Below are 25,469 nucleotides of genomic sequence, written 5' to 3'. Positions count from 1 at the left end.
TCAAGCAATCCTCCCACCTCAACCTCCTGAGTCGCTGGGACCACAAACTCATGCTATGCCACCACACCTGGCTATTGTTTTTTTGTTTGTTTTCTTTTTTGGTAGAGACAGGGTCTCACTATGTTGCCCAGGCTGGTCTCAAACTCCTGGGCTCAAGCAGTCCACCCACCTGGGCCTCCCAAAATGCTAGGATTACAGGGGTGAGCCACTGTGCCTGGCCATTTCTAGTATTTTTATAATTTAATTTTTTTACATTTAAATCTTCGCCCTATATGGAATTTATTTAGGCATTTTAAGAAGGGAGTTAGGAATTCAGCTTTTTATTTTATTTTTTTTCCAAATAGCCAGTTTTTCCAGTGTTCTTATACCACTAACTTGAAATGCTAGCTTTATCATGTGCTAAAAGAAACCTCATCCATTCCTGGATCTGTTTTGCTCTATTGATTAGTCTATTCCTGCGCCAGTAACTCTGTCATGGGATTAATAAATTTTTCCAAAAGTGGCAATAATTTCATGCTCATCTGCTCCTGGTAGAATCAAGCTGACATTTCACCCAGCTACTCTTAAACTTCTTGGCTTCTGTGCTTCCTATCCTAGGGTAGGATTAGGTCATCTGAATGACTGTATTTGCTCTGGGCTCCTCAGGGTACTGGCTTTTGGACTGTTAAGCACAGAAACAGCATATTTACATAGTTTTCCTTAATTTTGACCTGTTTCTAGATCATACGTTTAGCTGACTCCTTAGCAATATGAAGTGACCAGATCGTGTTCTCTTTGTGCCAAATGAAGCTTGTCCAACCCACAGCCCGTGGGCCACATGTGGCCCAGGGTGGCTTTGAATGCAACCCAATACAAATTCGTAAACTTTCTTAAAACATTATGAGATTTTTTTGTATGATTTTTTTTTTTTTAGCTAATTAGCTATTGTTAGTGTTAATGTATTTTATGTGTGGCCCAAGACAATTTTTCTGCCAGTGTGCCCCAGGGAAGCCAAAAGATTGGACACCCCAACAATCTGCCTCTTAGGCATGCTACATTAGAGCAACACAGCTATTTTTTTTTTTTCTTTTTGAGACGGCGTTTCACTTTGTCACCCAGGCTGGAGTGCAGTGGCGCAGTCTCGGCTCACTGCAACCTCTGCTTCCTGGGTTCAAGCAATTCTTCTGCCTCAGCCTCCTCAGTAGCTGGGCCTACAGGTGTGTGCCACCACACCCAGCTAATTTTTGTATTTTTAGTAGAGACGGAGTTTCACCATATTGGTCAGGCGGGTCTTGAACTCCTGACCTCAGGTGATCCACCCGCCTCAGCCTCCCAAGATGCTGGGATTACAGGTGTGGTGTGAGCCATCATGCCTGGCCTCCAGTTATTGTTTACCAGAAACAAAACATGCTTCACTTCTCCCCACACTCTCCATTTGAATTATCATTTATACAACTAACACATAACATCTTTATATATATATATATATATATATATATATATATATATATATATATATATATATATATATATATCATTCACTCTACCTTCTGTTGGCTGGACTCTCTAACATAGTACTAGATGTTTTTATATGATTCATTATTTTGATATTATAGAACATTCTTCGGTAATACTGTGTCAGAGGTTTTGGGTTTTCCCTTCCTATAGGGATTATTCCGCCTTTCAGTTATTTCTGGCAACAAAGCTTTATCCTCTGCTCATATTTCATTTATTCTTCTTACTTTGCCTTGATTACAGCAATTGAGCCATAACTTATTGGCTCATTATTTTCAGGCCTATGTATCATCAGACACCTTTCCTGTCTAAGTGATCCAGTGGCCTCTCTCAGCTTTCTTTGGGTCTTTCAAGCAGGAGTACTATTTCTAAAGTGTCTTCTTAAATATATTTCCTTTTCACTATTTTTATTTTCCTTCTATTTCAACCTTAACTTTCTTTATTCTGACCTTGAGATTCTTCTTATTATTATTCTTTTAAATATAGACCGGGTCTCTCTCTGTTTTCCAGACTAGAGTGCAGTGGCATGATCATAGCTTACTGCAGCTTCGAATTCCTGGGCTCAAGTGATCCTCCTACCTCAGCTTCCTGAGTAGCTAGAACTACAGGTGTGTACCACCATGCCTGGCTGATTTTTAAACTTTTTGTAGCGATGGGGGCGGGGTCTCACTATATTGCCCAGGCTGGTCTTGAACTCGTGGACTCAAGTGACCTCCCACCTCAGCCTCCCAATGTGCTGGGATTACAGGCATGAACCACCATACTCAGCCTGAAATTCTTTTTTTATTTTAACAAGTCTTAATAGCATTTACTGTATACTCAGCATTTTACTAGATGGTGATATTAATAGATTTTATTTGTGGTGTTCTTTGAAAATTTTCAAGATACTTGCATATTATCTTCCTGTGTGTTCTACCTGCACCGCTGCCTTCTCTCATTGCCTTGCTCTTGCTTATATCTGCCTCCCAACTCTGTAAACTCTGCTTAAATCTCAGTAGTCAGACCTTTATTTCTTCACTTGAAATTTGAATTTCTCTTCTATATAGACTACCCCTGCTCAGTGCCTCTAAACACTTCGACGTGTTCAGGGCATCTTTACCAATGTTTAGCTACGTGAAGTTAATGGTAACTACAATGGGAAAGAGAGGAGTAAGGTCACCATCATGTGTGAACATCTAAGAACACATACCAGTGTATAACAGTGTCTTGGCTGGCTGGAAGAGCATAGGAATAAACGCTATTCAGCCATTATTTACTGAGACAGCAGTAACCGTGTTAGAAGGAAGATTACATACAGATCAATAATGTTAGTTCAGGACAAACAGCTATCATGAGTTAAAAAAAATACTAAGAAAAAGAAATAATGTTAGTAGCAGGAGTTTGTGATAGACTTTTACAGAGATGTTTGTGGAGCATCTAATAAATATAAGACCTTGTGCTAGGCCTGATGGGTAATACCAAATTATAGCGTCTGCCATTAAGAATTTATAGCATAATTTGAGAGGAAGACAAATATGTAAATAGTTCTACATGTATAGTTTACATGTACATATAGTTTACATTTATATATAAATATAAATAGTTATAGTACCAGGAGTGTCTGTGAATGCTGTGAGGATAATGCTTAGGAAGAGGAGATCACTTTGAGCTGTGATAATTACAAACCAGAATGGTTGGTTTTACAGTGAAAGATGGGACTTAGGCTGTCTTTCAGATCTTTTTCACTGGTATAGTCTGTCCCCTGTGGCTGTCAAAAAGAAACACCCACAATAGAATGCTGAGGAGCAATGGACAAGTGCAGAAACACAGAACTTTTCCTTTTTGAAAGTTGCATTTTTCAACTTTTAGATTTAGGGGTACATGTGCAGGTTTGTTACCTGGGTATATTGTGCGATGCTGGGATACAAATGATCCCATCACTCAGGTAGTGAACATAGTACCCAAAAGTTAGTTTACCAGTACTCACCTGCGTCCCTCCTCTAATAATCCCGTTTCTGTTGTTGCCATCTTTATGTCCATGAGTACCCAGTGTTTACCTCCCAATATAAGTGAGAGCATGTGGTATTTGGTTTTCTGTTTCTGTGTTAATTTACTGAGGGTAATGGCCTCCATGTGCATCCATGTTGCTGCAAGGGACATGATATCATTCATTTTATGGCTCCATAGTATTACATGGTGTATATAGACCATATTTTCTTTATCCAATCCACTGCTGATGGGCACCTAGGTTGATTCCATGTCTTTGCTATTGTAAATAGAGCTATAATTAACATAGTGCATGTGTCTTTTTGGTAGAATGATTTGTTTTCTTTTGGATATATACCCAGTAACAGGATTGCTGGGTCAGATCATAGTTCTCTTTTAAGTTCCTTTTTTTTTTTTTTTTTTTGAGATGGAGTCTCCCTCTGTTGCCCAGGCTGGAATGCGGTGGCGCGATCACGGCTCACTGCAAGCTCCGCCTCCCGGGTTCACGCCATTCTCCTGCCTCAGCCTCTCCGAGTAGCTGGGACTACAGGCGCCCGCCGCCACGCCCGGCTAATTTTTTGTATTTTTAGTAGAGACGGGGTTTCACCGTAGTCTCGATCTCCTGACCTCGTGATCCGCCCGCCTCGGCCTCCCAAAGTGCTGGGATTACAAGCGTGAGCCACCACGCCCGGCCCTTTAAGTTCTTTGAGAAATCTCCAAATCGCTTTTCACAGGGGCTGAACATTCCCTCCAACAGTGTATAAACACTCCCTTTTCTCCACAGCCTCACCAGTATCTGTTTTTGTGTGTGTGTGTGTGATGTTTTAGTAATAGTCATTCTTTCTAGTATGAGATGGTATCTCATTGTGAAACCTGCATTTTTGAAAAATAGTTTCACTTGCTATAGAATTACAGCTTGACTGTTTTTTTGCCAGTACTTTAAATATGTTACTCCACTGTCTGGCTTGCATTGTAGGAAGAGTCGGCTATCATTCTTTGTTTCTCTGTATGTAATGTCATCTTTTTTGTGGATGCTTTTAAGATTTTTCTCTATTGCTGATTTTAGATTATTTGACTATGATATGATGTGCTTTGGTGTATTTTTCATCGTGTTTCTTGAGCTTAGGGTTTCTGAGCTTCTTGGATCTCTGGGTTTATCCTTTTCATCACATTTGGGGAAATTTTGGCTATTATATCTTTTTTTTTTTTTTTTGAAACGGAGTCTCACTGTCGCCCAGGCTGGAGTGCAGTGGCGCGATCTCGGCTCACTGCAGGCACCGCCCCCTGGGGTTCACGCCATTCTCCTGCCTCAGCCTCCCGCGTAGCTGGTACTACAGGCGCCCGCCACCTCGCCCGGCGAATTTTTTGTATTTTTAGTAGAGACGGGGATGGTCTTGATCTCCTGACCTCGTGATCTGCCCGCCTTGGCCTCCCAAAGTGCTGGGATTACAGGCGTGAGCCACCGTGGCTATTATATCTTAACTTTTTTTTCTGTCTCCAGCCCAGCCTCCTCTAGATGCCCTGATTGCATATATAATCAGCTGCTTGAAGTTGTTCTACTTCAAAAAGAATGAACAGAGCCATCGCTGAGCTGTAGAACAACTTTAAGAACATTTGTAGAAATTGTAGAACATCTTCTGAATTGATAGCTCTGTTCATTTTTTGTCTTTTTTTATCTCTGTGTTTCACTTTGGATAGTTTCTGTTGGTATGGCTTCAGGTTCACACTCACCTCTTCTACAGTGTCTAATCTCCTGTTCAGCCTATCCAGTGTTTGTTTTTTTGTTTGTTTGTTTTTGAGACGGAGTCTCACTCTGTCACTCAGGTGGAGTTCAGTCGTGCAATCTTGGCTCAATACAGCCTCCACCTCCCAGGTTCAAGCGATTCTCCTGCCTCAGCCTTCTGAGTAGCTGGGACTACAGGTGTATGTCACCACGCCTGGCTAGTTTTTGTATTTTTAGTAGAGACAAGTTTTCACCATGTTGGTGAGGCTGGTCTCAAACTTCTGAACTCAGGTGATCTGCCCGCCTCAGTCTCCCAAAGTGCTGGGATTACAGGCATGAGCCACAGCACCCTATCCAGTGTACTTTTCATTTCAGTCATTGTAATACTCATTTCTACAAGTCTAATTTAAGTCTTTTTCTTTTCTTTCTTTCTTTTTTTTTTTGAGACGGTGTTTTCTTGTCACCCAAGCTGTAGTGCAATGGTCCAATCTCTGCTCACTGCAACCTCTGCCTCCTGGATTCAAGTGATTCTCCTCCCTCAGCCTCTTGAGTAGCTGGGATTACAGGTGCCCACCACCACACTTGGCTAATTTTTAGTATTTTAGTAATTTTCGTATTTTTAGTGGAGACGGGATTTTACCATGTTGGCCAGGCTGGTCTCGAACTCTTGACCTCAAGTGATCCGCCCACCTTGGCCTCCCAAAATGCTGGGATTATAGGCATGAGCCACTGGGTCTTTAAAAAATTTTAAGTCTTTAAAAAAATTTTTTTTCTTTAACATTCTCAATCCATTCTCTAATTTCTTGTGGAGTACAGTTACAACTGTTGCAATGTCCTTATCTACTAATTATCTTGTTATTTCTGAGTTAGTTTGATTTTTCTCTTCATTATGGGTCCTGATTTCTTCTTTGCGTGCCTGGTTATTTTTAAAAATTTATTTTAAGAGACAGGGTCTTGCTCTGTTGCTCAGGCTGGAGTGCAGTGGTATGATCATAGCTCACTGTAGCCTCAAACTCCTGGGCTCAAGAGATCCTCCTGCCTCAGCCTCCCAAGTAGCGAGGGCTACAAGCATGTGCCACCATGCCTAGCTGATTTTTTTAAATTGTTTTTGTGGAAATGGGGGTCTTGCTACATTGCCCAGGCTGGCTTTGAACTCCTGGCCTCAAGTGATCCTCCCACCTCGGCCTCCCAAAGGGCTGGGATTATAGACATAAGCTACTGCACCTACCCACCTGATGATTTTTCAGTTGGATATTGTGAGTCTTAGCTTGTTGGGTGCTAGATATTTTTGTATTCTTTTAAATATTCTTGAACTTTGTTCTGGAACACTGGTTACTTGGAAACAGTTTGATCCTTTTGGGTCTTGCTTTTAAGCATTTTTAGGCGGGACCGGCACAGCGTTAAGTCTGGGGTTATTTTTCTTTACCACAGAGGTAAATGTTTCTGAGTACTCTACCCAATTTCCTTGAAATAACGAGGTTTCCTATTATGGTTGCTGGTAACAGGAATTATTCCTGTTCCTGTGTGAGGTCTGAATATTGTTCTCTGCCGTCCTTTCAGGTAATTATTTCCCTGGCCTCAGGTAGTTTCCTCACATGCGTGTGCTGATGGGTGTTCAGCTGAAGACTTGGTGGGGTGGCTGGGGAGGCCCCCTGCTCAGATCTCCAGAATTTTTTTTCTGTGTAAGTCTTTCTTCTCTAATCTTCTGCCCTGTGAACCTCTTTGGCCTCCCCAGACGATATATCAGCTTCCTCTCTTCAGTTTAGGAAGAACTCTGGACTCTGCCTGGGTGCCCCTCCCCTGCACTGTGCCTGAAATTCTCTCCAGGCAGTAAGCCAGTTAGCTGTAGGGTCCTCCTTGTTCAGTTCCTTGTCTTTCAGGAATCGTCGTCCTTTGTGCCTGGTGTCCAATATCTTGGAAACAGTCATTTCATATATTCTGTCGTTTTGGGTTTTTTTTTCTTTTCTTTTCTTTTTTGAGATGGAGTCTTGCCCTGTCGCACAGGCTAGAGTGCAGTGGCGCAATCTTGCCTCACTGCAGCCTCCGCCTCTCGGGTTCAAGCAATTCTCTGCCTCAGCCTCCCGAGTAGCTACCGCGCCTGGCTAATTTTTTGTATCTTTTTTTTTTTTTTTTGAGACGGAGCCTCGCTCTGTCGCCCAGGCTGGAGTGCAGTGGCGCGCTCTCGGCTCACTGCAAGCTCCGCCTCCCAGGTTCACGCCATTCTCCTGCCTCAGCCTCCGGAGTAGCTGGGACTACAGGTGCCCGCCACCACGCCCGGCTAATTTTTTGTATCTTTAGTAGAGACGGGGTTTCAGTCGAACTCCTGACCTCGTGATCCGCCTGTCTCGGCCTCCCAAAGTACTGGGGTTACAGGTGTGAGCCACCGCGCCCGGCCCATTCTGTGTTTTTGTTTTGTTTTGTTTTGTTTTTTATTAGCTGTTTCCGGTAGAAAGGTAAATGTGATCCCTGTCACTCCATCTTGACCAGAAGCAGAAGTCCACCCAGAAATGAACTTTTACATTTCATACTCATGTCTGTCATGGGGAAGTTAAGTGGGCCTGGCCTTATCCTTTTACTTGGGCGTCATCTTTTTCAAAACTTCATAAGTAGTTCTTAAAGAATTCAATATTTATTGCGTGCCCACTGTGCACTATGCTGTGTGTTAGCTGCTGAAATGTATGGGCTTGATTCCTTTACCAGATGGACCTCAGGTCTAGTGGGGAGGACAGGCAAGGTTCTTGTGGCTACAATTAAAAGTGCTGTAATACATATTTTGAAAGATCTAAGATGCCACTGCAGTGTAGAATGACATGTACGTTGTCTTAAATATTAGAAATGATTCTGGATTAGGATTGATGGCTTTGTGCTGACTTGTGAATTCTGTCTCCTAACCATGACCAGGTTGTCTGCCCTTTCCTGGACATCCGTATTTTTTTCTCCCATTGAAGTGGCAGGATTGAATCTGTACTCTTGGGTCCCTAGCTCTCCTGGATTTATCTCCTTTCCATATGACCTTTTCTTTCTGCTTAACCTTTGGGCCTGCTGTAACATCTCATTTCATTTTTCTTTTTTAACTTTCACCAGTATAAGAATGTTAGAGACTGAAATATTAAAAAATTAATTACATTTGCTATAGGTAGATGAGTTTTTCAGTGAGTTTGCCCATTTTCAAAAGCAAATCTTCATTGGTTATTTGGAGTGGGTGGGAGGGACAGCTTAAGGGCAGTAGAAAACCACAGTTTTGCTAGTAAATCTGGCCTACATTTCCAAAGGAACTCTTTGGATGATGAGTGAGGTCCATTACCATTTCAGTTGTTTCAGTGAAGCTGAGAGTTGCCGGTGACACGTGATAATCCTCCTCATTCTGTAGTTGAGCAATAGGAAAATGTGGGTAATGCCAGTCTGCATTGACTGGGTCGGCTGTGTAGAGCATTGCCTGAAAAGTAAAAGTTGCAGTCCTGATTGGCTCAAGACTGATATCTTACAGCCTGATGAAGACAACCACGAATTCCAGTGCCATAACTGATGGACTTTTTCTTTTCTCTTAGTTATGACAAGGACCTTCCTTGGAAAGATAACCTGTGTTTAGATGACTGTGATCTTAGCCCTTGTGATCTGCCTGGTGCTTGTGGTAGCTCTGGATGTTCCTGTTTTTCCTGAAGGACCTCATTGATGTCATTTCAGACACTATCCTCACTCAAGAGAATGTGAGGTTTTGCTATGTGTGAAATATCATATAAGACACACTGCTATGTCAGTTTTTAAGCCTCTGGTTTCAGAAGCTCTGGCAGCCCTACTTTTTCTCAGATGCCTGGCAAGCCTGCATGTCTGAATAGCCCTTCTTTCCTGCAGAGGCTGTGAGAAGCTCTGCCGAGCATTTGAGAGTTAACCATTATTTACGGAGCAAGACCTGCGTGAGGCACTGATTGTACTAACTTACAAAAATTGTGTAAGAGATTCTTTTGACATCAAAGGTACTTACGGTCCAGAGGGGAAATCACATACGTGAATTCGGAAGCCCATTCAAGACTGCAAGAGAAAATTCGAAGATAAACAAAACAGTTCATGTTTTGAGTTCTGTTTCTTTAGATTTCTATGTGGGATTGGTGGCTTGAGTGACCAAGTAGCTGGCATCCCAACCATTTATAGACATGTTCTATTTTGAGGTTGAGTTTGTGGTTTGGGGAGGATGTGTAATCATTTTCAACAAATGCTTACTGAGTGTGCAAAGTATTCCTGTGGAAGGCACAGGGAGTACCAAGAAGTATAAAGTTACATTCCCCAGCTTCCAAGGAGCTTCTCATATCTGGGAGGGCAAGGCATGTTTAAGATTTTAAAATCTTAGTAAGATTATAAGTCTTAAGAAAAAAGCATAATCATCCACATTTATTAGAAATATATACTGAACTATTAAACTGTCTAAGAAATGGGGCTTGGGTGGTGAGCATGTGGCCTGGAAAAGAGAAGGATCTTCACTCTTTGCTATATAGACTCTATATAGTATGTAATTTCTATATGGTTTGAAATTTTTGCCAAGTGCAGTTATTACCTCTTTGGAATTTTTATTTTTTTTATCAGTTACAAAAATTATAGAGAACAGACGATTGTATTAATACATATAATATTAACCTTGAATATCTCTATGTGGTAGGATTATGAGTGACTTATCTTTATTATGCGTTCTTATAATTGTCTACATCTTCTTTAATGAATATATATTATTGTATAAGTAGAGAAAGGAAGTATTTGAAAAACAAAACCCAAAACCACCTACAATGATTATTATAACTATATTTTAACATGCTTACTATATTTTGGATATAATATACCAGCTTTCCCTTTTTTACCTCCTTACTCTCACTGCAACTCTAGTAAGGTTGTTTTATTATTATCATTATTACTATTGTTATTAAATAAAAAGGTGAAACAAAGGCATTTGCTTCTTGCTTCTGCCCGTTGTCATTTTTGAGTGAGCTAGACTAGAAGTAAAAGGAATCCAGTTACGAACTTTTCAGCTATACTGTAAAGGATGCCCAGAAAAATTTAAATTATGTTGATTTGGTTACAATTACGCCTGCCAGTGTGGGCTATGATCTTTTGTTTTAAAGCATCCTAAAAATACTTTGCTATACCTTTATATTTAGTTCTGTTGGAGAAAGCAATTAGATTGTCCCATCTCCCATCTCCCCATCTGGTGCAGTAAAGAAAACTCATCTGCTTGGCTTACTTTGTGTTAGAGAGAATTTAAATTTCCAAGTTATTTGTGATTCACATTAAGTAGTTAAATCCCATCCCTCCCAAATTTTGTACTGGGAATCCATACCCACTTTGTAATTATGAACTTAATTACTCTGAACAGTAATAAAGTTCAGATATTTAAAGAAGCCAAAGATTGAAGGAGAGTGGCTGTCATTTCTAAATTAATTTTTTTTCCCCTTATAGCATGTGTTTGATGATCTCAGAGGCTCAGTATCCTTGTCCTGGGTTGGAGATAGCACTGGGGTAAGTCATATTTTGAGTCTGTTATTTCAGCCCAGCAAGAAGATGATAACAGATTTGGGGAAGGGTTAAGCACCTAATATCATTTCTTCCTGAAACTGTCTTTAGCCTCAATCACAGAAAACACATGTTTGCAAGACAGACTTTCAGGAAGTTGTAGTTGTGTTGGTTTTGCTTTAGAATTGGGAACATCTTTTTTGCGGGGGGGTGGGGACGGAGTTTCGCTCTTGTTGCCCAAGTTGGAGTGCGATGGCATGATCTCAGCTCACTGCAACCTCCACCTCCCGGGTTCAAGCGATTCTCCTGCCTCAGCCTCCCAAGGAGCTGGGATTACAGGCACCCACCACCATGCACAGCTGATTTTTTGTATTTTTAGTGAAGATGAGGTTTCACCATGTTGGCCAGGCTGGTCTTGAACGCCTGACCTCAGGTGATCCACGCGCCTCAGCCTCCCAAAAGTGCTGGGATTACAGGCATGAGCCACTGCGCCTGGCCGGGAACATCTTCTGACCACCTTCTTCCACGGTGGGAAGATGGACACCTTTTCAGTCCTTGGTGGCTGCTTAGCATCAAGATGAGCAAGAAGAAAGATGAAAGTGCTCTGTACTGAGAAGGGAAGCGCACAATGCTTGGGGAAACCCCTATATAGAAACAGAAAATGTCCATTAAAAACATCCTGGCACTTTTCCTCCAAATTGTATTGTTCCTGTGTCCTTTCCTACAGGTGTGTTGAGGGACTGTGGTGCCCATGGGCTCATGGTTGTTCATCTGTTGGTCCCTGCCCCTGCCACAAAGGAGGTACTGCCAGGATTGGGGGAATGGAAGGAGGATCAGTCAGCTCCTTATCCCTCCTGATATACAGCTGGGCTCCCACTAGGAGGACACGCTGAGGATACATTGGCCCCTGGTCTTAAATCAGGACTTGTTGCCTGGCTGTCTTATTATCCTGCTTGAACAAGAGCAGGGGCAACATCTCCTGCCCCCTGGTATTCCATAATGCATGTGTCATAGCATTGAGGCACATGATAGTTATATTAGAAGCCTAAAGAAATAAAATCTTGGTGCTGAAAAGCAAATTGTAAATTTCTTATTTTGATTAATTTTTAAACTTTCAGTAGAATTTCTTTAAGCATAGTTCAGTTTTTTCTAAAATTTGAGTTGTACCCTAATTTCCATGATTTACCCATTTATCTTAGATAGTTGGTATCTCCAAGAATTTTTTTTTTTTTTTTTTTTTTTGAGACAGAGTCTTGCTCTGTCACCCAGGCTGGAGAGCAGTGGTGCAATCTTGGCTCACAGCAACGTCCACCTCCCAGGTTCAAGCAATTCTCATGCCTCAGCCTCCCAAGAAGCTGGGACTACAGGCAAGCACCACCACGCCCGGCTAATTTTTGTATTTTAAGTAGAGATGGGGTTTCACCATGTTAGCCAGGCTAGTCTCGAACTTCTGACCTCAAGTGATCCGTCCGCCTCAGCCTCCCAAAGTGCTGTGATTACAGGCGTGAGCCACCGTGCCCAGCCATCTCCAAGATTTCTCATATGGCTTTCTGAGACTCCCTAGACTCTTATAGTAATCCATCCAGAATCATTTCCTCATGCATAGTTTTTGGTAGATAAGGTACTGAAAAAATGAATTTCATGAAGAACCAACGGCAAGGAGAAGAAAAAGACAGACATACATGACACAGTGATCTCTGTGAGAACACCCACGCTATTCTAGACTCTGTAAGGAGAAAAGGGAAGAGGGTTCTTGCCTGAGAGTATCTTACAATAATTTGGATACAAAATAGTTAAAGCCTTCTTTTATTTTAATGTGTATTTGAGTAGTCAGCCTCACTGCTTCAATGGAGGCAATGGGGATCATCCCAACAAAATGAGCTGAGGACTTTCTCATCATTCTCAGCCCTAGTAACTAGATCCTTCTAGACTTTGGGGAGTACTACAAAGTAGGGATATCAAAAGTCTTTTAGGTGTTGGCTTAATCTCGAACACATATCAGCATGTGATTGGAATATCTTTTTTATTTACGGAATGCTTTTTTCTCTCTCCAGGTCATTCTAGTCTTGACTACCTTCCATGTACCACTGGTAATTATGACTTTTGGACAGTCCAAGCTATATCGAAGGTGAGATCAATAACACGCGTTGGAGCATTTCACTAAGTAACATTGAGAATATAGATTCTCCCTTTTCTAGACATGATGGCACGTAACAGTTGATGTAAAAGATCTTCTAGCCATCCTAAGTTTTCACCAGACTGTCACACTCAGCACATGTTTTTGTTGTTGTTGTTGTTGTTGTTTTTTGAGACAGGGTCTCACTCTTGTCACCCAGGCTGGAGTGCAGTGGCGTCATCTTGGCTCACTGCAGCCTCCACCTCCCAGGCTCAAGCCATCCTCCCACTTCAGCCTCCCAGGTAGCTGGGACTGCAGGCACACGCTACCATGCCCAGCTAATTTTTTGTATTTTTTGTAGAGACAGGGTTTCCCCATGTTGCCTAGGCTTGTATTGAGCTCCTGGGTTCGAATGATCCACCTGCCTCCAAAAGTGCTGGGATTATAGGCGGGAGCCACTGCACCCGGCCCTTAGCACACTTTTTAACGTCTACTCTTTTTTTTTTTTTGAGCAGGGTCTAGCTCTGTCACTCAGGCTGGAGAGCAGTGGCGCAAACACAGCTCATTGCAACCTCTCCCTCCCAGGCTCAAGCCATCCACCATCTTCCCACCTCAGCCTCCCAAGTGGCTGGCATTACAGGCACGTACCTCCATGCCTGGGTAATTTTTGTATTTTGGATAGACAGGGTTTCACCATGTTGCCCAGTCTGGTATCGAGCGCCTGGGCTCAAGCTGTCTTCCCACCTCAGCCTCCCAAAGTGCTAGGATTACAGGTGTGAGCCACCATGCCTGGCCTTAGCATCTAATTAGCAACTGAAAGAAGTATGAAAAGGGACCTGGTTCCAAGGAGGTTGGTTTGACCTGACTCAGGGGCAGAACAATAAAGGAAGATGAAGAAAGAGTGTATAGTGCTGTGTGTTTGTGTTCATTTATATGGATATTTATTTGTGGGAAGGTAGTATGGGGTTTAAAAAGTCTTTCTATTTAGTGTGAGTACAAAATGGTTTTTTATATTCCTGAAATGAAAATCTTCATTGTACTTTCCCAGCAAATATTTATACAGCATTTTGAGGCCTAAGCAGATTATTTTTAGGTAAGAAGGAGGCTCTCAGGTCGGACCTACCAAAGTGCTTTGTAGTGTTCACACTGGCGATGATGGTGGTAACATGTGTTCTGGAACCACAACCTATACTGTGACATTGGTGAAGTTTTAGAGTTGTCTTCTCAAAGGTATGACTTGGTTAAAAAGTAGGTTCCGTTCCTTAGCAGTAAGATTCAAGACCAACTAACTCCTAGAGATTGCTGAATGATTGTGTCTTCTCAATCATTTATGTCTGTCTCATTTTCCCCTAGAGACCTAAAGAAGTAATGACATACCAGCAGATGATATAGAAACTACCCTAGGGTCAGGGTATCTCCCAGGAGTAATGGTACTTTCTCAAGGTTCTTTATTTGACTGCTGTTCTTGGCCCAAGTGGGAGTGAACCCATGTTCAAGCTCTGAAATGGATTAGCCTAACCTCTCTTCCCCGTGAGGTATGAACTTTGACTACATCTCCTGGGCATGGAGCCAGAGGTCTCTGCCCTTCAATACATTGATGTTGGTCCCAGAGAGGCAGCAAATACCTTTAGGCCAACAAGGAATTGCCATCTAACTACAGTGTAAATTCCATGAAGGCAAGGTTCTTGACTAACTGGGGTCCCCAGGATCTAGCCAAATGCCTAACATATAGTAGGCAGGCAGCAAATAATAATTGAATAAATGAATGAATGTCTTGGCTTCTTTATAATTTTTAGATGGTTAATTAAATTTTTTTAAATATAGGATTGACTATATTTTAGAATCTTGGTGCTAGAAAGCGCTATAGTAGGTGACTTTGTTTATTCAATCAGAACAGTAGTTGAACCATTTTAGATGAAAAACATCCTATTTGGGGAGAGAAAAATGCATTTTAAAATGTGTAACTTTGCTTCAGTAACTCTTTCCTGTGGTTAAGAATGTTTGCTATTATAAATTCCCTCCTCACAAAATTAGCTGGGCATGGTGTCACACACCTGTGGTCCCAGCTACTTGGGAGACTGAGGTAGGAGCATCTCTTGGGTCCGGGAGGTTGAGGCTGCAGTAGCTATGATCACATCACTGCACTCCAGGCTGGGTGACAGAGCAATACCCTTTCTCAAAAACATAAAATATCTCCTCATGATAGTTTTTCTTACCAACCTGTGTTTCATTATAAAAGCAGTATAATCATATTATAGGACATTTGAAAATTTTAAAGGAAAGAAAAAAGTTCACCATACAGCCACGTGTAATCTTAATTTGTTTGCAGTTTATTATCTTGACCTTCCCCTTTGATGTTGTATCATATAATTGTAGAGTATTGGGAGGCAATGTGGAATAGCAAAATGTTGCCAAGCTTTGTTGGCAAGTAGGCTCAGGATTGAATCACAGCACTGTCATTGCAAACAGAATGAACTTGGGAAAGTCATTTAACCTCCTAAGTCTTTTTTGTCATCTGTAAAAGGACAATAATAATGCCCACCTCAGAGCCGTTGTGAGGTATGCTCTGCAGTGCCTGGCATGGAGTAATAGCTTGGTGCTGTTAGTTGCTGCCATGCCAATGATCAGGGATGGCATGTAGCCAGCAGGTACTGGCATTGCTGTACCAGTTGTTAAAATGAATTTGAAGCCTTCAGGCAGATTGCCTGCCCCCAGATGCCTCCACGTCTTCTACAAATGCACACTGCACCCCCTAGCCCCTGCCAACATGCAAATGTTACTAACACCTGGCATTATGACCTACATCCATGCTGATGGGTCGGTACTCATACCTTCACTCTGCTGGTAACCCCTCATTTTTTTAGATTGACATAATTTACTTAATCATTGTTCCATTGGATAGTTAGGTTGTAGCTGTTTTTTTCGCTGTAACTAATACTACTGTGATCAGTATCATACATATTTGTGTCATAGGGGATGTTTATTTCTAGTTCACTCTTCAGTAGCAAAGGAAAACCTCCACTCTGATGGATGTCAACGTGTTTTAAAGGCTGTTTGTTAAATGCCTCTTTCTCTAGGTTGAGTTATCTTCTATACCTAATGCCTCAACAACTTAAGACAATCAAAACCAAAACAAGAACCAATACTGCCATGTCACTGTTTAAATACCACCACCATCAGACTCAGCCTTTTTTCAGCCTGTTTTTGTCTAGTCTTGTGAAAAACCCCGCTTTCCTGACATACTTTACTAGAGTGCAATTCTATTTGTTTCTGATATAGTATAATGTTACCAAGGTACTTTTTTTTCATGTTACCCAGCAGTTTTTTGTTTCTTTTTTTGTTTGTTTAACCACATTGACTTTGAATATTAATTATCTCTTCCCTGCCATGAAGTGGAAACTGACTCTGTACCCACTTCCAGAGTTTAGGCGGAAACTGTAAATATGCCTTGTTGCCTTTCCAACTGGGCTGGCCTGGCTTAAAGTGACTGGCCAACCAAGTCAACCATGTCAAACATGCCAACCAAGAGGCAACTGTTGTTTCAGAAATGAGAAAGGGAAAGAAGCAGTTTGATCAAAATGGGTCCTGAGTATGCTGAAGTTGCCCAATTACCGATAAAAGCCCATTGAACCCACTCTGAAGATTTTTCTGTTTTTCACAGCATTGGTGATTATATTATTCGTTAGACCATCTTCGCATACTAAATCTTATATGGTTAAAGGTTCATTTGGATTTGAAATAAAAAACAGCAAATCACATGCCACCTGCTCTGTGTATTACAGCATGAAGTCTCACAAGAATAGAAGGAAGTTGTCTCTGTTGATATACAGAATTAGAGGGAGTATACTTCTGTCTTTAGGCCATGAAAAAGAATTATTGAAGGATTTGGGAGATTATATGTATGTGTATGTATGTATATGTGTGTATACATATGTTTCTGTATACATATGTTTGTGTGTATGTACATGCATACACACACATATGCATATTTTCCATTTAAGGGAATCATATTTGTATAGTATAAATTTTGATTTCCTTATAAGGAATATTAGTTTTATAATGGATTATAGAGTATGTTTGTCTCTCACTTGCACATATGAAGTTAAAGAAATAAACTAGCTACAATTAAGATGATAATTTGATTTTTGGCAACTAAAAGATATTTTCCATCTTTTTGTTTTATGATGTCTTGAGTCCAACTTTTCATTGTATAATGTACTTAGTGAAGCAAATGTAGGCATTATTCTACACCAATGTTATATACCTAATTATTAATATCACAAAGACTGCTGGGCTATTTTATTCCTGGTGTTTCTATTGAGAATTGCTCAAATTTCCCTATTAAGAGGTTTTGCATTAAAATATATTACATAGTCAATGTAAGTTTTTCAGAATGTTACTTGAGATTTTTTTAAAAGGATAACTTAAAGGTATACAATGCAAAGTGCTGCTAGTGCAGTAAACCAGCTTCTTCAAGGCATGTTGTGTAACAACCTTTTTAATGATATGCTCAGTTCAGTTTTCACTGCAGTAGATTGTTAACAATGACTGCATATTTCAGTTACAAGGTTGGGATAAATTCCATTTACAACATATATTTTCTTGCTTTTTTTTTTTTAAAGAAAAAGTATATTAAAATGTGATGATGGCATTTTACCTTTAATACAACTTCACTTCTATACACGTAAAGTTGTCAATCAGAGTAAGATGAAGACCCACAAATACATATTCATGTTCCTTCTGATTAAAAGTTCTGTGATTTTTTTATTTACAATATCTTACTCTCTTTATTTTCCCACTTGTAGTTTCAAAATTTCTACAGAAAACATGTATCCTTTCCCAATAATGATAAAACACAACATAGTTAAATAAAAACACAAGGTAATATCAGACAGTGGGGGAAAAAGACACTGAAATATTGGGAATTAAGTTTATTATGAATTCAAATCTTGCCAATATTACCCAGCAGTAGTTTCAGGTCCATGATTATTTTGATACATTTTAATAAACTACATTCTCCCTATTGATCTTTTACCTGGAAATCTCAGTGCAGTTGGTTGTCATTATTAGTGATAGTTATGTTCTGTAAAGTTGTCATGAATATTGAATTAGTTAATAGTGAACCATTGCTCCTAGGGGGACATATAGGGTTAGGTTTCTGCAAACTTCTGGTCACAGCACTCATTTTCATCAAATGATCAATACATAACTTTGTTTTATGTGTGTTTCTGTTTAAAGATACCTTATTTAATGTGTATTATTGATTCATTAACACTGAATTCATGGCCAATAGCACTAGAACTCTTGCCCAAACAAGGCTTGTCTCATATACTCGTATTTCCTCCATGAGGCACATCAAAGTCTTCTTGTGTTTAGGAACACTAAACAGCTTGTTGACACTGCTCTTGGAGGCTATTTAAACAGAAAAAGTACCCCCCAAAAAAAGCATAAACTTGCAAAAACCTAAGTAGAAAAAAACTAAGTAGACCGTAAAAAGGACACTTATTTATAGTATTAGAACTGAACACAAAGGCAAAGCATCACCTTGTTTGACCTCAGCTGGGAATGGGTACACTGGGTGACTCACATTTTTGCTGCTCTATGAATGTCTATAAATGACTGGCAAGGGACCATGAGTACTGATTTGGGGATTACAAATAAATTTAAGAAGGTAAACAAATTTACAAATATAGAATCCATGAATAATGAAGATTGTATAAGCTTTCTCAATTAGTAAAAACCACAAAACAATAATATTTTTAAGAGTTTACCATCATCCTTGTTACTTTTATGTTATAATTTATAGTGGCTTAGTCATGGCAAAATGAACAAAAGAAAATGGGTAGAAGCAGAAAGAGTTTTTGAGGTGCATGCTTGAAAAAGCCTACATAGCTGTTAATGAAACTTAAAGATGATTCTGGTGAAGGCTCAGAAAGAAAAGAGGAGGGCTGTAGAGAAAAATTCCATCTTAGAGAATACCTAAGTAATCCATGGTAGAATATTCGTAAAAATGTGGACCACAAAGGCCATTATGATGGGTTTCTGGCAGAAATGAGGAACTTGTTGTTGGACAGTAGAGAAAAAGCAATCCTTGTTATAAAGTGGCAGACAACTAGGCTGAATTGTGTTCATGTTCTAGTGTTTTGTGGAAAGTAGAACTTGCAAGCAATGAAATTGCATATTTAGCTAAAACAATATCTAAGTAAAATGTTGAAGTTGCAGCTTGGTTCCTCCTGACTGCTCGTAGTAAAATGTGGGAAAAGAGAAATGACTTAAAGACAGAATTATTAAGCAAGAAGAAAGCAGTACTAAAAGATTTGGAAAATTCTCAGTCTATCTAAATTGCACAGACTGCAATAATAGGATGTGAATAATTAGGATGTGGCCAAGTGACCATTTGATAAAGAGATTAGCATAGGTGTAAACTAAGAACTCAATCAGTCACCCCAACAGGAAAACTGCCAGTTTGAACCCAATGAGGGAAGGCTTTCAGATTTCAAGGACCACAGAGCTATTCAGTTGCGTATGTGTAATCTTCTTTAAGACAAGGCCATTCAGGGATCACCAAGGCTGCCTCCTCAATTTCAAAAGAAGGGACCATCACCCAAAGCCATGGGAGAAGGGCCACCCAGATCCTTGTGGGCCTACCCCCTTTCTGGCAAGGCTGCAGAGCAAGAACACAATCCCAGCGTGTCTGGGAAGAGGAGGGACCCCCTCCCCAATATTGGACCTGTAGGACAGAGCATAGAGCCAAAGAGAATTGTTTTCAAGCTTTAATATCTAGGCCAGGCGCAGTGGCTCATACTTGTAATCCCAGCACTTTGGGAGGCTGAGGTGGAAGGATTGCTTGGGGCCAGGAGTTTTGAGACCAGCCTGGGCAACATAGTGAGACCCATCTCTACCAAAAAAAAAAAAAAAAAAAAATTGAGTGTGGTGGTACATGACTGTAGTCCTAGCTACTTGGGAGGCTAAGGCAGAAGAATTGCTTGAGCTCAGGAGTTCTAGGCTATAGTGAGCTATGATCTCATCATTGCACCCCAGCCTGGGTGGCAGAGCAAGACCCTCTCCTTATTTATTTACTTTTGACACAGGGTCTTACACTGTTGCCCAGGCTGGAGTGCAGTGTCATGATCACGGCTCATTGTAGCTTTGAGCTCCTGGGCTCAAGTGATCCTCCTGCCTCAGCCTCCCAAGTGGCTGGGACTACAGGCTGGAAACCACCATGCTCAACTAAATTTTGTATACTTTGTAGAGATGGGTTTTCACTATGTTGCCTTTGGGAGGCCGAGGTGGGAGGATGCCCAGCCTTAAGACCTACTCTTTAAAAATAACTAAATAAATATATCTCATGAAGTTTGCCTGTATTTTAGACTTATTTGGAGTCACCTTTCGTCTTTTCCATTTCCCTTTTTTGGAATGGAAATGTCTATACTGTGCCTGTCCCACCATTGTATTTTGGAAGTGCATAACTTGTTTGGTTTCACAGGTACACAACTGAGGAGCAGTTTGCTTCAAGATGAATCATACCTTGAGTCTCACCTTTGTCTGATATAGATGATATTTAGATGACACTTTCAATTTTAGACTTTAGAGTTGATGCTGGAACAAGTTAAGACTTTAGGCCAGATGCGGTAACTCATGCCTGTAATCCCTGCACTTTGGGAGGCAGATGTGGGAAGATTACCTGAGGTCAGGAGTTCGAGACCAGCCTGGCCAACATGGAGAAACCCTGTCTCTACTAAAAATACAAAAATTAGCTGGGTGTGGTGGCACATACCTGTAATCCCAGCTACTTGGGAGGCTGAGGCAGGAGAACCGCTTGAACCTGGGAGACAGAGGTTGCAGTGAGCCGAGATCATGCCATTGCACTCCAGCCTGGGTAACAAGAGTGGAACTCTGTCTCAAAAAAATAAAATAAAATAAAAAGGCTTTTGAGGCTGCTGGGATGTAATGAATGTATTTTGCATGTGAGAAGGACATGAGTTTGGAGGAATGGAGTGGAGGGGCAGGGTGGGGGTGTCAGGATGCCGTACACTGAATGTTTATGTTCCCTCTGAACTCATATGTTGAAATTTTAACCCCTAGTGCGATGGTATTAGGAGGTGGGACCTTCGGTAAGTGATTAGGTCATAAGGGCAGAACCTTCACCAGTGGGATTAGTCCCCTTATAAGAGAGACCCCGAGAGCTCCCTTGCCCCTTCTGTCATGTACGGTTACAGTGACAAGAGGGTAATCTGTGAAGCAGGAAGCAGACCCTCACCAGACAGCACATCTGCTGGCACCTTCATCTTGGACTTCTCAGCCTCCAGAACAGTGAGAAATGAATTTCTGCTGTTTATAAGCCACCCAGTTTATAATATTCTTTTATAGCAGCCCTAGCTAAAATAAGCTCTATTCCAAATATATTTGTATTTTAGCATTATTTTCTTGAGTTATAAACATGTGCATGTTTACACCGTGGATACATGCAAAAATGATCATTTATTTTTGGTAACCAGAAAATGGATATTAGTGTTGATGCATAGAATTGTTATTAAAAAGACTTGTTTCTTTTTTTTTTTTTTTTTAAGACGGAGTCTCACTCTGTCGCCCAGGCTGCAGTGCAGTGGCACGATCTCGGCTCACTGCAACCTCTGCCTCCCGGGGTCAAGCAATTCTCTGCCTCAGCCTCCTGAGTAGCAGGGATTTCAGGCGCGTGCCACCATGCCTGGCTAATTTTTGTGTTTTTAGTAGAGACAGGGTTTCACCATCTTGGCCAGGCTGGTCTTGAACTCCTGACCTTGTGATCCACCTGCCTTGGCCTCCCAAAGTGCTGGGATTACAGGCATGAGCCACCACGCCCGGCCAAAAAGACTTGTTTCTAAAGCAGTTGGTTTCACAGCATTTTAACTGTTTACTTATCATTCGACGGCTGTTCATAACGCTATTAATTATCATATGGAATTTGAAAATTAGATTTATCAAAGTTGCTTCATCAATTTCCTCTTCGTGACATAGGCTGATAGAAAATAAAGTGCTAGGATCACGCCTCTAATTCTAGAGCTTTGGGAGGCCAAGGTGGGAAGATTGCTTGAGGCCAGGAGTTTGAGACCATACATATCTTCATGATATGTATGCTGATAGAAAATAAAGCTACATTTAAATAAAGCATTATGTTAAAAAATATACCCCTGGGCCCAAAGTGGCCTTGCTAGAACCCTACTTAAGTCCCAGCAGGTTGATACTAGTTCATTTTCTCCATTTATTTAACTGACTAAAGTACCAGAGTGCTGTAGCAGGTGATTTTTTGTTTTGCTCATGCTGGTTTCTTTTTTTGAAGGGCAGGGATGTGTTTGTTGTGCCAAGTTCTTAAAAAGCAAGCAGGCTTGCCAACAGGTTTGTGGAGATTCTCTGGGGATGTCATGAAGGAGGACCAATTTGTAAACTAGTACTAATCAGGCTGCTTCAACCCCTTTGGAAGATTTACAGAGCTGTTGATGATACATGCACTGTAGAGCTGGGAATTGTTTATGCACATCTCTTGGCCAGCTGTCAGGAAGATAAGAGCTGATCTACTGCAAAGCCAAAGAAAGGGTAATATAATATAGGACTCTGTTGGGTGGCGCCCAATTGTATTTCATTTATCTAGGAATTTTCTGTGTGTGTGTATGTACTTAAGGAAGGATAGAGTCATTCAGACAACTTAGACATATGTAGTTTGTTTCAGCATATTATCAGGGACCTCTACATACACACATGGATACTTCCCTTCTGTCTCCAACTTTCTCTTAGCTGATCTCTTCTGCCAGGTCATAAGCCCCCAGCAAGACAGAGGAAGACCCCAGTTTGTAAGGGAAAAAATCCTCACAGATAATTAAAAGTTATCTCCAGTTTAGGGCTAAAGGTTCAGAGAATTGGACTATAGTTTCAATTTTGCCCTTAATTAACTAGTTGACTTTTGATAAATTGCCTTCCCTTGCAACTCCTCATCTGTGAAATGAGGGAGTTGGACAAGATGTTCACTTCAGCCCCTTACACTGCTCATGGTTCTGCAATTCTTTATTTGTTGAGGCCGCTACCAAAACCTGTAACATCATTTACATCATGTACATTCAAGCTTCGCTTAATGATGGGGATACATTCTGCGAAGTGCATCATTAGGTGATTTCATTATTGTGCAAACATCACAGAGTGTACTTACTCACACCTGGACAGTATAGCCTGCTACACACCACAGCTATATGGTATAACTTCTTGTTCCTAGGCAACAAACCTGTAGAGCATGTTACTGTACTGAATACTGTAGGCAGCTGTAACACAGTACTAAGTATCTGTATATTTAAACATAGAAAAGGCATGGTAACAATATGGTTTCATAATCTGGACTCACCATCATATAAACAGTCCATTGGTAACCAAAACATCTTCATGCAACACATAACTATATTCTATCATTGAAGACCACTGCAGATTACATTTATCTGTGTGCAGAAATTTGCAGTGCACAGCAGTCTTCATTGATGGATACTTAAATTTAATGAACATTAAGATTTAGCATTTTGTATTGTGTAAGAGAGCTATACATAGTATTAAACCTGTCAGGGTTAGACAGCTATGGAATTTTTGCTTTTATTTTCCAGAATCTAAACATGGATTCGAATACTTCTCAAAGATATTGTTGGAATGAACTTTTGGAAAAAGCTTGGAAACTCTGAGAGTTGAGATTAAGTTTGTTTGTTTTTCCTAGCTGTATTTCATGTACTGAGTGCCTTACAGACTTCTGCCTAGGGATGGTAACTTCTATGGGGAAAAACTTCAAGAACTTGCTACAGCTTCATTTACAGCTTTTTCATAACTACTGTGGATTAATAGATTAGTTAGAAGCCTTTGGGAGCACTTTGCATAGATCTCACCTTAAACTAACCTGAATAATAAGGGAATAGTTGATTCTGTAACTAAGTACAGAGGAATGACAGGCTTCAGGGTCGATTCAATTCAGTGTCATAGGCTCTGCTTCTCGGTATTCTGAAATTACCTTCTCTGTGCTCCCATTGTGACAGAATGACGATAGCAGTCTTTACTGTGTGTTCACATACTGCATCATTGGGGTTTCTCAACCTTAGTACTCTTGACATTGGGGCCAGGTAATTCTTTATTATTGTGGGACTGTCCTGTGCCTTGTAGGATGTTTGGCAACATCGCTGGCCACTACCCACTTAATGCCAGTAGCACCTCAGCCCTTCATTGTGATAATCAAAAATGTCTGTAGGACCGGGCACAGTGGCTCATGCCTGTAATCCCAGCACTTTGGGAGGCCGAGGCGGGCGGATCACTTTGAGCTTGGGAGTCAAGACCAGCCTGAGCAATGTGGTGAAACCCCGTCTCTACTTAAAATACAAAAATTAGCCAGGCGTGGTGACACGGACCTGTAATTCCAGCTACTCGGGAGGCTGAGGCTGGAGAATCACTTGAGCCTGGGAATTGCACCACTGAGCTGAGATTGCATCACTGCACTCCAGCCTGGGTAACAGAGTGTGATCTTGTCTCAAAGGAAAAAAAAAAAGTCTGCAAACATTACCAAATGTTTCTTGGGGGACAAAAGCACCCTGATTGAGAACTGCTGGTCTGAAGGAATATAGACCATTTTATCAGGTAGCTATCATAAGTGGGAGGCAGTGTGCTTCCTAGAAGACCCCAAATTTCCCACCCACCTTTTATCTCCCATTGGCTCATCCTGAGTCACTCCCCGATTCCTGAACCCCCATCACTGGTGAGTGGGTTTGTGGGGGGGGGGGCGGGTGGAATGTTCTTCGGACTCACCAGGGCACCTCTGGAGCTAGGAATGTGGCTATTCAGGGTGAGCCGAGTCTCTCAGCATGATTGGTGGAAAGGGAGAATGAAAGCTGAGTAGGAACTCAGTAATATCCATGACCACTGCACCCTAAATTTGCCCTTTTTTTCTTCCTCTCAGTGAGGATTATGGGAAGAACTTTAAGGATATTACAGATCTCATCAATAACACCTTTATTCGGACTGAATTTGGCATGGCTATTGGTCCTGAGAACTCTGGAAAGGTGAGACTCATTCTTGTATACATAAAGCTTGTGCTTGATACCACATGCAGAGCTGTCAGATATTAGTATTGGCATGGTCCAGTGATTCACAGTAATGTATTTTAGTTTAGTATTGCTATATTTATATTTTAAAATTAAACACAATTTTTTAAGGGTCTCACTCTGTCTCCCAGGCTGGAGTGCAGTGATACCGTCACGGCTCGCTGCAGCCTTGACCTTCCAGGCTCAAGGGATCCTCCCACCTCAGTCACTTGAGTAGCTGGGACTACAGGCTCTTGCCACCACTCCTGGGTAATTTTTGTATTTTTTTGTAGAGGGTTTTGCCATGTTGCTCAGGCTGGTCTTGAACTCCTGGGCTCAAGCAATCCACCCACCTCAGCCCCTGAAGTGCTGGGATTACAGGCATGAGCCACTGTGCCTGCCTTAAACACAATTTAATATCGATCATATAAGAATGGAACTCTGAGCACACAGGTTTATTTGTTTTTGTTCCCCGCCCAAGGTGCACCAAAGCCCTTAATAATTATGCAGCAGTTGCTTAACATTACAATGTATATAACCTATGACAACATTTTAGTTTTTTGGAAAACTAATCTCAGTTAGCCTAATCTAGGCTTAAACC

At 41.1% G+C, this 25,469-nt stretch overlaps 1 protein-coding gene across 4 annotated transcripts in view; it reads left to right on the top strand.

Annotated features, from left to right (window-relative positions):
- Window positions 1–25,469, top strand: part of SORT1 (sortilin 1) — an 88,344-nt gene that overhangs the window by 17,705 nt on the left and 45,170 nt on the right. For all 4 annotated transcript variants that reach the window (XM_005271100.3, NM_002959.7, NM_001205228.2 and 1 more), the window contains exons 2-4: window positions 10,625–10,684; window positions 12,733–12,806; window positions 24,745–24,847. In XM_005271100.3, the coding sequence (XP_005271157.1) occupies window positions 10,625–10,684; window positions 12,733–12,806; window positions 24,745–24,847 (237 nt within the window). The remainder of the gene's footprint in view (window positions 1–10,624; window positions 10,685–12,732; window positions 12,807–24,744; window positions 24,848–25,469) is intronic.

The sequence above is a fragment of the Homo sapiens genome, chromosome 1 (assembly GCF_000001405.40).
Source record: "Homo sapiens chromosome 1, GRCh38.p14 Primary Assembly".
NCBI lineage: Eukaryota > Metazoa > Chordata > Mammalia > Primates > Hominidae > Homo > Homo sapiens.
This window is presented reverse-complemented; position numbering and strand designations above follow the sequence as displayed.